The 15,617-nt window shown below is 38.3% G+C and overlaps 2 annotated features.

Moving 5' to 3' along the window:
• Positions 12,188-12,746: an enhancer, noted in NCBI's record as "OCT4-NANOG hESC enhancer chr20:11745327-11745885 (GRCh37/hg19 assembly coordinates)". NCBI's record gives its function as "activates a minimal SCP1, AML or CMV promoter by ChIP-STARR-seq in primed H9 embryonic stem cells {active_cell/tissue: H9 hESC(primed)}" and the evidence as "EXISTENCE:reporter gene assay evidence [ECO:0000049][PMID:30033119]".
• Positions 14,281-14,819: an enhancer, noted in NCBI's record as "OCT4-NANOG-H3K27ac hESC enhancer chr20:11747420-11747958 (GRCh37/hg19 assembly coordinates)". NCBI's record gives its function as "activates a minimal SCP1, AML or CMV promoter by ChIP-STARR-seq in primed H9 embryonic stem cells {active_cell/tissue: H9 hESC(primed)}" and the evidence as "EXISTENCE:reporter gene assay evidence [ECO:0000049][PMID:30033119]".

Genomic DNA, 15,617 nt, shown 5'->3' on the forward strand with positions numbered 1-15,617 from the left:
CTGCACTGCATTCTAAGTAATTTCTTCAGATCTTTTTTCCAGTTCACTAAGTACCTCTTCACTTGTGTCTAATCTGCTGGTAAAATCTTCCATTGCGCAGCAAATTCATATCTGAAACTATATGCCTTAGAAATACACAAGTGCATGTAGGTTTTGTGTAAGTAATGTTTCTTGCAGCCTTATTTGAAATAGGAAAAAGAAAACTCACACTTCTCAGTAGGAAAATGGTTCAATAAATTACACACATCTGTTCTATTAAATTAATACTATATAGCTACAAAGCTATCTCAACCAAGGATGTTGCTTTAGCTATTCCAACTTGGACCAATGCCAGCCATCTATACATAGTGGAAGAAGGTAGGCTTCTGCATGTGTGTGTATGTGTGTGTGCATGAAGAATTGTCTAAAAGCAACTATTCCAAATTGATATTGTGCTGTAAGTATAAAATCCACCCAGAATTTCAAACTTATGAGAAAAAATGTAAATTGTCCCATTAATAATTTTATATTGATTACATGTTGAAATAATAATATGTTAGATATATTGGGTTAAATAAAATACATTATTAAAATAAATTTCACTTATTTTTACTTTTTCATACTGCTAGTAGACATTTTTAAATTACATACTATAAAAGTGTTGATTTTCTAAGTTAATATTGTGTTTCATATTTCTATAATTACTATTTGCTTCATTCACTGGTAAGAAGAACTTGTATTCTCCATTGTTTGTGACACTTTCAATACTCTTATTTCTCTGGACATATCCTTATTTTCTGTTTACTACCTGGTAATTCCAGTATCGACTGTTATTGTAGGTCTCATTCTGAAATATATTGTTTCTACCGACTCACTCCCATAGTGACTCATTTCTTCTTGTACTTATTAACCTTTAGCACTTTATCTATGAATATTCTGAGTTTAATTTACATTTCTCCAAAACAAATATGCATTTTCTTCCCCCAGGTATGTTAGACTCTACCACCCTGGGGCCAAATTAAGACAAATATTCATCTTAGGAGTTTGTGAAGAAGTCAGATAGGTAATATAATATTTTTATTTTTTATGAAAGTAAAATACGTATGCACAAAAATGTGCACGTATTACAATGAAAGGGAAAAATGAATTTTCACAAACTAAGCATATCTGTGAAGCCAGTACCGAAAACAAGAAACAGAAAATTATAGGTACCTAGATGCCCCCCACACGCTCTGCCGTGTGTGTGTGTGTGTGTGTGTGTGTGTGTGTGTGTGTATATAGTTTGTTTGCTTTTGTTTTATTTTTCTTGGCCCTGAGCAAAGGCTGAGTTCAGGAGGTGCCCTCCACGTCTCCTGTATGGGTTTAGCTCACCTGTCCTGGGGCTGGGCTCTGTTTTCTCACCTGTTGGGGTCCCAGATATTATCCACCCACGGTCCCAGGTTGTATCCACTCTTCTGTCTGTGATTGGCCAAATTACGCTTAGGGAATTAGAAATATGTAAATATCCCCAGGGCAAACATTGTTTCTAGCACTTGAATATTCTCCAGATTTAAGCTTTTCTCTAATTTTGGGTTTAGAAAAAGTCCTTGTTTTCCCCTAAGCTCAGAAATGTAAGACAGCAAAAAAGAGAGAGAGAGGGAAAAAAGGAGAGAGAGGAGAAATACTGATTTTTTAACATTTAACCCATAAATAGAGACTTGGTTCAACAAATTATGAATAATGATAAAAATGAAAATTCTACACTATTAAAAACCTTGTTATTAGGATCTAATGATATGTTAAAATATCTATGACATTATTGAAAAGAAAGCAACGATTCAAACCTGTAAAGTATAATCCAATTTTGTAAAAAATTTAAAAAGATATGAATTTTTACATACCTACAAAACATAAAATAAATGAATTAAAGCATTAACAGTGATTTTCTCTTGGGAATGGACTCACACGTTCTTTTATTCATATGCTTTTCCATTATTTCTGCAAGGTTCACATCCTTATTGTGTAATGCGAACAAAAAACAGGAAGAATTCAGAAGAAAAACCAGGAGCTAGAAAACACTTTTTCCACACACCTGCACTCTTAGTCACACACTCAGGCTATGTCAGTGGCATGACAGAAACTGGAAAAAAAAATGGAATGGCTCCAATAACATTCGACAAGACAAACCTACAGCCAAGCAGGCACAACACTGCTGTGCCTTCTACTCATGCTGATTCTCATCAAATGGAAAATGCGACTTCATCCAGGAGGAACCTTTTGACTCTTCCCACCCAGGGCTTTTCTTTCCTGTTGCACCATTAAGCTGCCTTTCTCTAAGCAGCGCACTGCAGGTGTGGACAGAATATAACAAAACTCTTCATAATCTTTAATTTAAGATTGACAATTTTTTGTCCCTCAGCTTGATTGACTTTGTGAAATACTGGAAAGCCTGAGATTCAGGCAAGGAGGCAAAAGCAAGAATACATTTTTACCAATTCACATTGTTTGTAAATAAGTTATTAGAACTGTACCCTTTTTTCAACCTAGCATGGTTGATCTGCAGTCATCTTTTTGAGCAGCGATTTGAAAACAGGACCAGTATTTAAGACCTCCCTTTTAGGACAGACAATAATAGTAACAATCATAATGTGCCAGTGAGAATGCTTTTATGATTCTCTCTCTTTGGCATTGTTAGTAGAGATACCTCAAACAGACCAGTGCCAACAGCAGCTTCTGGGAGCGTGCTGGGAATGCAGACTCTTGGGCCTCACCCCAGACTTACTGAGTCAAAATCTCCAGGGATAGACGGTTTAACAACCTCTCCAGTGATTTGTATGCACACTAACATTTTGAAACCACTTGAGAGCATCCAAAAATAATGTTGAACAATCACAGTTCAAACCGAAAAGAAAAGACAGTTTTATTCCTCTGTTTATTGGTCTCTCCTCTGGGAGGAATTTTGCTATAAACCCTCACCCTAGTGGCAACAGTTAGGTGTGGAAACTCTTAAGTGTATCACGGAGCAGAGGTCAGGGCTTCATATAAACAGCCTGGTCCCTAACTGCTTCCCTTCTGCAGTCAACCCCAGGAATGGACTTTTTGTTCAGTGTCTCCTTTCATCCTCTTTGAAGAGATGCAAATTTGAACAGACAGTGTCGCTGTTGGGAACTGTTTTGTCCCTGCCATCAATTGTATGTTCCTCTCTGTGATTATCTGGTGAGACAGTGCAAAAATAGGGACAAAACTAACAGGAAAAAATACAAGGAAACAGGAAACTCTAGCGTACAGGAGTTGGCCAGCATAATTTATTTTTTTCTTATGCATGGTCATGCTATGTGGTTTTGTAAACTTCCTTTTTAAAATCATGGTTGATTGAACATTTAAGAAAAGTTTTGACTGGACACGGTGGCTCACGCCTGTAATCCCAGCACTTTGGGATGCCAAGGCAGGTGGATCACCTGAGGTCAGGAGTTCGAGACCAGCCTGACCAACATGGAGAAATCCTGACTCTACTAAAAATACAAAATTAGCCGGGTGTGGTGGCGCATGCCTGTAATCCCAGCTACTCAGGAGGCTGAGGCAGGAGAATTGCTTGAACCTGGGAGGCGCCATTGCACTCCAGTCTGGGCAACAAGAGCGAAACTCTGTCTCAAAACAAAATAAAATTTTAAAAATAAAGAAAAGAAAAGTTTTGATAGCAAGCATATACCAAACTATGAAAAATATGCAAAAAGTCTAAATGATGCCTTTGGAATCTTCATTTACAGTAGTTTTACTATTATACTAAGGACTGACACTTTTATTAATCCAACTTTTGACAAATGCCGATTACTTACTATGTGTAAGGAAGGTTTCAGAGTAACAATTTCCTCTAATCAAAATTTATCTCATCTATTTCCCATTTCTTTAGAACTCTGGATTATGATAATATATTAAATTATTCTATAATAGTAATTGTGTATCAATGATGCCTTTGTCACTTTGGATCGCTTAGAACAGAATACCATAAACTGGGTGGCTTAAGCAACAAACATTGATTTCTCACAGTTTTGGAGGCTGGGAAGTCCAAGTTCAAGGTGCCAGCAGATTCAGTGTCTGGTGTGGGCCCACTTCCTAGTGTGTAGATGACAGCTTCTCATTATGTCCTCACATGGTCGAGAGAAAAATCACTTTTCTCTTGTCTTGTTTTATAAGAGCACTAATCCCATTCATAAGGGTTCCACCCTCATGACCCAATTATTTCCCAAAGGCTCCACCTCCTAATACCATCCCATTTGGAGCTAGCATTTCAACATATGAATTTTGGGGGGAACACAAATATTCAGTTTATAACAGATGCTTATATCCCAAATATTTTTCTCCCTTTCTCCTGTGTCAGTGTGTCTATTGCCACAATAATGCTATATAACTAACAGCCATAAAACTTCAGTGGCATAATACAATAGCATTTATTACTCATCTATCAGGAGCCTGCTAGAGATCTGCCAGGTGGCTCTATGTCTTTTGGTAGGGCTATGTGCCAGTTGGCTACGTATTGATCTAGACCAGCTTCGACTAGGACACCTGCGCATCTTGGGTCTACTTCACGCATCCATCACATTCCAGCAGGCAACCACAGGCACGTCCTCATGAAACTAACCAAAATACAGCAAAGAGCAAGGCCTCTCAAATCATAGACTCAGAACCACCACCTTAGCACTTCTGCTTCATTCTGTTGGCCAAAGGCAGGCATATAGTCAGGTTTAGAGGCAGAGCCAGATAATAGTTCAAAATTACACGGCAAAGGGAGTGGATGCAGAGGGAGTGAAGGATCAGGGTCCTGTTTGCAACCAATGTACCACACCCTCTCATCCAAACCATCATTAAGACCTGTCAGTTCAACCTTATCACATTCATCCAATTTTCTCTATCTTACTACTGCCACCACTTCAGGGCACTGTTACCGCTTGCCTGTAGCCTCCCAACTGTTCTGTCCACATCTACCTTGTTCACTGCTCCTTAGATTATTCTCAAGACAGCATTCAGAATAATAACTTTAAAACAATCTTATTGTTTTAAAAAAACTGCTCTTGCCACTCATTTGCTGAAATCCACTCAATGGTTTCCTATTGCTTTCAGGATAAAGGTAGAAATCCTCCATATGGAGTATATGGCCTTGTCCCATGTGGATGTGGAGCATGCCTCTCTCCCCAGCCTTATTTAGCCCCCTTCTCCTCTCCGGGCTCAAACTATCCTGGCCTTCCTTCACTCTCCCAGTGCCATGCTCCCCACCTCACAAGGCCTGCGTAGATATGGGTTCCTCTATCTCAAATAAGTCTTTGCCTGGTTCAATTCCATGCATCCATCAGATCATTATTCAAACATCATTTTCTCAACCTCATCATCCCACTGTCACTATAATAGGGTGTCCTAGTTTCATGCTCTAAAATCTGTTTGTAATTTTCCATCACTGTCCTTAGTTTGTAATGAACAATTATCTGTGTTGTTAATTGATTACATCTACCCCCCACTAAACTGTAAAACTCCATGATGTCATGTCTGCAAGATCAATGTGGTTTCCTAAAGGATTTACCAAACTACAAAAGAAAAATAAATTGTACTTTCCTTCTTTTTGAATATAAATTTCTTATATCTTGAATTTAAATTAGTTTGTGCAATTACACTATGTAACTGAGCTCCTTAAAAAGGGCATTATAAATAAGATACTGCAAAATATCAATCATTCTTCCACTTTCCAAATTTACCAGTAAAATCTTTAATCTTCTCTCTACTTTGCACAAATATTTCTTGCCCAGGGGAATAAAACCATAAACCAGATTAGTCAGATTGATAGTAAAATTACTCTTAAAGAGTTTGTGTTATTTCTTGGTCATTTCTTTAATGATTTCTGATATTCTCTGTAGGGAGAATGCCTAAATTAAAGACTGTGAGACACAGGTGTGAAGCAAGTGTTGGATTTGTGTTCTGACAATGGAGAAGCACTATCTACATGTTCAAAATAAATAGTATTTCCTTCCATTACAAAAATGTAAATTATAATAAACCTGTAAGAACATATGCATGCAATAATATTTAACAGTGATTTGGTTTGTACCGTTTGACCAAAATCTCCCCACTTCCTCCACCTCCAGCCCCTGGCAGGCTCTATTCTACTCTGTTTCTATGAGTTTGACTTTTTAGATTCCACATATAAATGATATTTTATAGTATTTGTCTTTATTTGTCTGACTTGACTTCACTTAGCATAACATCCCCAGTGTTCATCATGTTGTCACAACTGGCAGGATTTTTTTTTTTTTTTGGATACACAATTTTGCTCTGTTATCCAGGCTGGAGTGCAGTGGCACAATCATGGCTCACTGCGGCTTTGGCCTCTCAGGCTCAAGCAATCCTCCCAACTCAGCCTCCTGAGTAGCTGGGACTACAGGCCTGTGCCACCACACCAGGATAACTTTTGTATTTTTTATAGAGACAGGGTTTCACTCTGTTGGCCAGGCTGGTCTTGAACACCTGGGCTCAAGTGATTCGCCCACCTCTGCATCCCAAAGTGCTGAGATTACAGGCATGAGTTACCACGTCCAGCCAGGAATTTCCTTTTTTTTTAGATTGAATAACACTCCATTTTGTGTATATGTATGTGTGTTTCTATATATATTTAATATGCCTATATATACACATTTTTCTTGTCCATTCATTCATTGACAGACACTTAAGTGGTTTCCATGTCTTAGTTATTGTGCATAATGCTATAAAAACATTACTAGAGTGTGGATATCTCAGGGGTAACAGATTTCATTTCCTTCATTTCCTTCAGATACATATGCAGAAGATATCGTAGTTAGATTTTTAAAGTTTCGAAGAACCTCCATACTCTTTCCCATAATGGCTATACCAATTTATATTCCCTTCAACAGTGCACAGGATTCCTTTTCTCCACAACCTCACCAACACTTATCTTTTTCTTTTTAGATAACAGACATGGTAGCATATGTGAGGTAATATTTCATTCTGATTTTGATTTGCATTTCCCTGATGATTAGTGATGCTGGGCACCCTTCCAATTACCTGTTTGTCACAGTCTGTCTTCTTTTGAAAAATTTTTATTCAGACTCTTTGCCCATTTTTAAAATTGGGTTATTTGTGGGGGTTTTCTTCACTATTAAGATATATGAGTTTTTTTATACATTTTGGGTATTAGTTCCTTATAAGATAGATGGTTTGCAAATATTTTCTCCCATTCTGTAGGTCGTCTTTTCATTTTATTGAATGTTTCCTTTGTTTTACAGAAGCTTTTTACTTTGATGTAGTTGGACTTGTTTATTTTTGCTTTTGTTGCTTGTACTTTGGGTGTCATATCCAAAAATAATTATTACCGAGACTTCTGTCAAGCAGTCTTTCTCCTGTTTCCTTCTAAGAGTTTTGGAGTTTCAGGTCTTACGTTAAAGTTTTTAATACACTTTGCATTGATTATTTTGTGTAGTGTAAGATAAGAGTCCGATTTCATTCTTCTACATGTGGATATCCAGGTTTCAGTATGGTTTATTGAAGAAACTATTCTTTCTCCATTGTGTATTCTTGGCACCCTTGTCAAATATTAGTTGATAACTATGTATGCATGGGTTTATTTATTTCTGTGCTCATTATTCTGTTCCATTAATTAATGTGTCTGTTTTTATGACAGTACCATACTCCTTTGATTACTATATTTCTGTAATATAGTTTGAAATCAGAAAATATGAAGCCTTCAGCTTTGTTCTTTCTCAGAATTGTTTTGGTTGTTCTGGGTCTTTTATGGTTCCATTGAATTTTAGAATTATTTTTTGTATTTCTGTGAAAAATGTCATTGAAATTTTGTCAAGGATTGTGTTGAATCTATAGATCATTTTGGATAATATGGACATTTTAATAATGCTGATCCTTCTGATCTGTGAAAATGTAATATCTTTCCATTTACTTGTGTCTTCTTCAATTTCTTTCAACACCTATGGTTTTCAGTATATTGATTTCTCACTTCCTTAAATTTATTCTTAAGTATTTTCTTCTTTTTGATGCTTGTCTTACTTCATTTTGTGCTGCCAAAACAGAGTACCACAGACTGGGTAATATATGATGAAAATAAATTGTAGGCTTATGATTCTGAAGGCTGGCAAGTCCAAGATCAAGGGACTGGATCTGGTAAAAAGCATTCTTTCTGTGTCATCCCATGGCAGAAGGGCAAATAGAGGGTGCGTGTGTGAGAGAAAGAGAAAAGGTGCTGAATTCATTCTTTTATAAGAAACCCACGCCTGTGATAACTAATCCAATTCACGAGGGCAAAGCTCTCACTGGCCTGTTCACCTCTCTAGGCCCCATTTCCCAACACTATTGCGTTTGGGATTAAGTTTCCAAAACATGCTTTTTGGGGGACACATTTAAACCACAGCAATGCTATTATAAATGGAATTTTTAAAAAATTATATTTCAGATAGTTTATCACTATTGTATAGAATTGTAATTGATTTTTGTATGTCTACTTTCTATAGTGTAACTTTACTAATTTGTTAGTTCTAACAGTTTTCTGGTGTAGTTTTTAGGGTCTTCTATATATAAGATCATGTCATCTGCAAACAGACAATTTTATGACTCTCTTTCTGATTTGGATGCTTTTAATTTCGTTCCTTGCCTACCTGTTCCGGCCAGGACTTCCAGTACTATGTTGAATAGAAGTGGTTAAAGTAGGCATTCTTGTCTTAGTCTTGATCATACAGAAAAACTTTTCAGGTTTTCACCATTAAGTATGATATCAGTTGTGAGGCTATAACCTTTATTATGTTGAGATACATTCCTCCCATATTCAATTTACTAAGAGTTCTTATCATGAAAAGATGCTGAATTTCTTCAAATACTTCTCCTGCATCTCTTAAGATGGTTATATGATTTTTATTCTGCTATTTATTCATCCTGTTAAAGTGATGTACTGCATTAACTGATTTGTGTATGTTAAACCATCTTACAGCCCTGGGATAAATCCCACTTCATCATGGTATATAATCCTTTTAATGTGCTGTAGAATTTGGTTTACTAGTATTTGTTGAGGATATTTGCCTCTATGTTCATCAGGGAAATTAGCCTGTAATTTTCTTTTCTTGTAGTGTTTTTCTCTGGCTTTGGTATCACGGTAATGCTAGCCTCATAAAATTAGTTTGGAACTATTCTCTCCTCCTCAGCGTTTTGGAAGAGTTTGAGGATTGGCATTAATTGTTTAAATGTTTGGTAGAATTCACAGTGATGCCATCTGGTCCTAGGATTTTTTTGTTGTTGGAGGATTTGACTACTGATTCAATGTTCTTACTTGTTTTTTCTTTTTTTTTTTTTTTTTTTTTTTTGGTTTTGGTTTTTTGTTTTGTTTTTGAGACTGAGTCTCGCTCTATCACTGAGGCTGGAGTGCAGTGGTACGATCTTGGCTCACTGCAACCTCCACCTCCCAGGTTAAAGTGATTCTCGTGCCTCAGACTCTTAAGTAGCTGGGATTGCAGGTGCCCACCACCATGCCTGGCTAATTTTTGTATTTTTACATGTTATTGGTTCATTCAGATGTCCTGTTTATTTATTATTTAGTCTTGGTAGGTTGTATATTTCTAGTACTTTATCTATTTCTTCCAGATTATCCAATTTGTTGGCATATAATTGTTCATAATGGTTTCTTATTATCCTCGGTATATATTCTGGGGATCTAATGTACAACACAGTGATTATAATTAACAATATTGTATTGTGTACTTGAATTTGCTAAGAAAGTAGATTATAAATGTTCTCACCACAAAAAAGTAACAATGTGAGATGACAGATGTGTTAACTAACTTGATTGTGGAAATTATTTCATAATACATATGTATATCAAATCACGATACTGTACACCTTAAATTTATGCAGTTTTGCCAACAATACCTTAAGAAAACTGAAAAAAGCAACAGAGATTTGATATGATCAAATTTTAAATATTTTAGAAATTTGGTTGATGTATTTCTATGTGTTGATCTAATGAAAATCTAATAGATTGTTCTAGAAAAGTCACTCCTTACATTCATTTTTTTTTCTTTTTTTATTTATTATACTTTAAGTTCTAGGGTACATGTGTGCAACGTGCAGGTTTGTTATATATGTATACATGTGCCATGTTAGTGTGCTGCACCCATAAACTCGTCATTTACATTAGGTATTTCTCCTAATGCTATCCCTCCCCCCTCCCCCCACCCAACAACAGGCCCCAGTGTGTGATGTTCCCCACCCTGTGTCCAAATGTTCTCATTGTTCAATTCCCACCTATGAGTGAGAACATGTGGTGCGTGGTTTTCTGTCCTTGCGATAGTTTGCTCAGAATGATGGCTTCCAGCTTCATCCATGTCCTTACAAAGGACATGAACTCATCCTTTTTTATGGCTGCATAGTATTCCATGGTGTATATGTGCCACATTTTCTTAATCCAGTCTATCATTGATGGACATCTGGGTTGGTTCCAAGTCTTTGCTATTGTGAATAGTGCCACAATAAACATTCGTGTGCATGTGTCTTTACAGCAGCATGATTTATAATCCTTTGGGTATATACCCAGTAATGGGATGGCTGGGTCAAATGGTATTTCTAGTTCTAGATCCCTGAGGAATCGCCACACTGACTTCCACAATGGTTGAACTAGTTTACAGTCCCACCAACAGTGTAAAAGTGTTCCTATTTCTCCACATCCCCTCCAGCACCTGTTGTTTCCTGACTTTTTAATGATCACCATTCTAACTGGTGTGAGATGGTATCTCATTGTGGCTTTGATTTGCATTTCTCTGATGGCCAGTGATGATGAGCATTTTTTCATGTGTCTGTTGGCTGCATAAATGTCTTCTTTTGAGAAGTGTCTGTTCATATCCTTTGCCCACTTTTTGATAGGGTTGTTTGTTTTTTCTTATAAATCTGTTTAAGTTCTTTGTAGATTCTTAATATTAGCCCTTTGTCAGATGGGTAGAAAATTTGTAAAAATTTTCTCCCATTCTGTAGGTCGCCTGTTCACTCTGATGGTAGTTTCTTTTGCTGTGCAGAAGCTCTTTACTTTAATTAGATCCCATTTGTCAGTTTTGGCTTTTGTTGCCATTGCCTTTGGTGTTTTAGACATGAAGTCCTTGCCCATGCCTATGTCCTGAATGGTATTGCCTAGGTTTTTTCCTAGGGTTTTTATGGCTTTAAGTCTAATATTTAAGTCTTTAATCCATCTTGAATTAATTTTTGTATAAGGTGTAAGGAAGGGATCCAGTTTCGGCTTTCTACATATGGCTAGCCAGTTTTCCCAGCACCATTTATTAAATAGGGAATCTAGGTATTGATGGGACGTATCTCAAAATAATAAGAGCTATTTATGACAAACCCACAGCCAATATCATACTGAATGGGCAAAAACTGGAAGCATTCCCTTTGAAAACTGGCACAAGAGAGGGATGCCTTCTTTCACTACTCCTATTCAACATAGTGTTGGAAGTTCTGGCCACAGCAATCAGGCAGGAGAAAGAAATAAAGGGTATTCAATTAGGAAAGGAGGAAGTCAAATTGTCCCTGTTTGTAGATGACATGATTGCATATTTAGAAAACCCCATCATCTCAGCCCAAAATCTCCTTAAGCTGATAAGCCACTTCAGCAAAGTCTCAGGATACAAAATCAATGTGCAAAAATCACAAGCATTCCTATACACCAACAACAGACAGAGAGCCAAATCATTAGTGAACTCCCATTCATAATTGCTTCAAACAGAATAAAATACATAGGAATCCAACTTACAAAGGATGTGAAGGACCTCTTCAAGGAAAACTACAAACCACTGCTCAATGAAATAAAAGAGGACACAAACAAATGGAAGAACATTCCATGCTCATGGATAGGAAGAAACAATACCGTGAAAATGGCCATACTGCCCAAGGTAATTTATAGATTCAATGCCATCCCCATCAAGCTACCAATGACTTTCTTCACAGAATTGGAAAAAACTACTTTAAAGTTCATATGGAACCAAAAAACAGCCCACATTGCCAAGACAATCCTAAGCCAAAAGAACAAAGCTGGAGGCATCATGCTACCTGACTTCAAACTATACTACAAGCCTACAGTAACCACAACAGCATGGTACTGGTACCAAAACAGAGAAATAGACCAATGGAACAGAACAGAGCCCTCAGAAATAATACCACACATCTACAACCATCTGATCTTTGACAAACCTGGCAAAAACTCCTTACATTCATGAACCATTTCCCCTCAGCCCATGATTTATTGTTTATGAACCTGTTCTCAGACAGGTCCAGAGGGGCAGCCCTAGAGAACATGGCAGCACTCCCTGTCATGGATGGTTTGACCCAGTTTGCACTTCTAATTTGAAGTGGACCAACCAGAGTTCTCCTCCTGGCAGTTTGTAATTAGGACACAAAAAGATTAAGTTCCATGCAACTGGAATGTCAGGTAAATTCCAGGGCTGAATCTCTCTGTAGGGGCTAATGGGCAATCAGAGGAAGGCAGTCTTTGAAAAGGAAGAAAAGAAAATAAAAGATGTGTACAGAGGAACCAGGAAATTCTTGTGGTGGGAGAGGTAAGGTGAAGTAGAAAGTGTGCTGGAGGAAGCAAGATATCCTGGGTTCCTGATGCCACTGATCTCCAAGTCCATGACTGGCAAAGCTCGGCTGTATTTTCTGTCATGCATTCTGAGAGAATTTCTTGAATCCATGGAATAAATTCACTTACTTATGCAGTGAGTTTCTATTTTTACAAGAAAATAGTTACTGGCCAACACAGAGATCTTCAAGAAAAGTAATATGCCAGTAAGTGTGCTCAGGCTCAGGGCATGTTGCCTTTTCCTGAGTTCACTATGGAGTCTGGGTTCCTTCTTTCTGCAGATGGCCTAATGTAATTCCAACTTTATCTGGCCCTTTACTTACTATGTGCCTTTAGAGTAGAGTATAACCTTAAAAAGGTGTCTCAGAATAATACACTCTGAGTGCCCGAAGAAAACCTTGAAGGAATTCTTTCATTCTGGCTGTGCATCAGAGCCACTTGTGAAATTTATTAGCACATAGAAGTTGGAGCCGTCACCCTGCTTCAGTTAGTCTGTAATAGAAACAGAACAGGTTGATTGATATCCACAGATAATTATAGTGCACAGCCTCAGTTAAAACCACTGTGCCTTAGATATCAATCACTACCCTTCCCTTAAAGGCAAAATAACTGAGGTCATTATCAGTTAACTCTTGCTGTTGACAAACAACCCCACAACTCAATGGCTTAAAATAATAAGAATTATTACTCATGAGCTTATGGGCCACCTGGGCAGCTTTTCTGGTCTTGGTTGGATCCATGCATTCATATCGGGTCAGTTATAGTTTGGATATTTTTCCCCGCCCAAATCTCATATTGAATTGTAATCTCCAGTATAAGAGGTGGGGCTTGGTGGGAGATGACTGGATCGTGAGGCTGAGTTTCTTTTTATTTTATTTTTTTGAGATGAAGTCTCATTCTGTTGCCCAGGCTGGAGTGCAGTGGCATGATCTTGGCTCACTGCAACCTCCGCCTCCCAGGTTCAAACAATTCTCCTGCCTCAGCCCCCCGAATAGCTGGGACTACAGGCACGAGCCACCACGCCCAGCAAACTTTTTATTTATTTATTTTTTTATTTTTAGTACAGGTAGGGTTTCACCGTATTAGCCAGGATGGTCTCGATCTCCTGACCTTGTGATCCTCCCGCCTCAGCCTCCCAAAGTGCTGGGATTACAGACAGGAGCCACTGCGCCCAGCCCGTGAGGCTGGATTTCTAGCGAATGATTTAGTACCGTCCCGTTAGTGCTGTCATTTAAAAATGTGTGGTAACTCCCCCTACCCCTGCCTTCCTCTCATTCTCACCATGTGAGATGCCTACTCCCCTTTCACCTTCCACCATGATTGTAAGCTTCCTAAGACCTCCCAAGAAGCCGAGTAGATGCCAGTACCATGCTTCCTATAAAGCCTGCAGAACCGTGAGCCAACTGAACCTCTTTTTTAAAATAAATTACTCAGTCTCAGGTATTTCTTTATAATAGTGCAAGAATGGCCTCATACAGGGTCACATAGGCACTCTGCTGTCATAGCTGCACTCTCTGACATGTTTGAGGTCAGTAGGTTGGCTGGTCTAGAATGGTCTGAGACAACTGTGTTCTCTCGATGTCAGTTTTTACACTCCAGCAGGCAGCTCAGGATTACAAGATGTGTGCAAAGCTTCTTGAGGATAAGTTCAGAATTGGAGCATCACATCCACTGAATTCTATTGCTCATAGCCGGTCATGAGGCCAACCTAGATTCCAGGAGTGGGGGGAAATAGACTTTATTTTGGGATGGGAGGAGCTGCACAGTCTTACAAATAATGTGAATACAGAGAAGGAGGGAATAATTATGGCAAGTCCTTGAAATCAATCTGCCAGAGGCCCAGAAAGAGTTAAGAACAGCCCAAAGGAGCAAAGAAACAAATTCCCTATAGTTAGTTGAGTGTTTTCCTACCACCAACACTTAAGATCCCTTTCACATGTATAAATGTGGGCTCTTCTTTACAGCTTCCCCCGGACAAATACTTGAGTGTTCTAATGGCAAAGGTTGCTTCAGTTCTCTTTTTTTTTTTTGAGGCTCCCTGTCAGCTCGCGCCAGCTAGCACTGCCTGAAGAGCGTCACTAACTGCCAGGTGGCTTAGAAGGACTCAGCACACAAAGCCAAGAATGCTTCTCAAATTCAGCCTAAATGACTCAGTCACCTCCATTAGGATGAATGCATCTCGGAATAGTGCAAATTATGAAGATTTCATTCTGCTTTCAAATGCAATTCCTGGGAGTGATTACTGTGTCTACTAAGCAGCCAACTAAGCTCACGGCAGCAAAGGCAGAACTGGACGCAAATCAAGTGAAAACTAGATGCAGGTAGTTGGTCGAAGTGGCAAAAACAAGAAGACAGTGGCAAAATCAAATGGAATAAGAAGGTGTTTACATGACAGCCCTGCCTCTGGGAAATAGTGTGGAATGAGAAAAGGCCCAGAGTTAACATTCCACATCTTTTTACATGGATGTTACTATAGCACTTGCTGCTTCTTGCATCTCACATCCTATATCATAGAAATGCAATTATATCTTAAGCAGAACCAGCAACTATTAGCCTGCCTCCCTCAGAGCAGGAATTTGTAACTTTGGCTGCCCAGAAGAATAACCTGGGATGCTTTGAAAATACTGACGCCTAGGCCCAGCATGAGTGATTCTAACTTAAATCACTCCAGTGTGTGACTTGAGCATTGGGACTTTTTTAAAAATTAAAAACTCCCTGATTGATTTTAATATATGCCTAAGGGTGAAGACTTAACTAGGTGCCTGGGTAACTCTTAATTCATGCAACTAATACATTCTTTTGAGCATTTATTGTGTGCAGAGAATTTTGCCAGATGCAGTGTTCAACAAGAAGTTGACCTTTTGGCGCAAAGGAGAAAAAAGATGCCTATGCAGTTGAAGTCACCACGGGTTGAGCCACCATAAAGACAAATCTAGTGTGAAAAAAGAAATGGCACAGAGGAGGGGATAATTCTCCACCTGTTGCTAATGCCCCAATTTAAGAATTATCCACAGACTTCCACAGATCAATCAGCCAC

Source organism: Homo sapiens, chromosome 20 (assembly GCF_000001405.40).
Source record: "Homo sapiens chromosome 20, GRCh38.p14 Primary Assembly".
NCBI classification, from domain to species: Eukaryota; Metazoa; Chordata; class Mammalia; order Primates; family Hominidae; genus Homo; species Homo sapiens.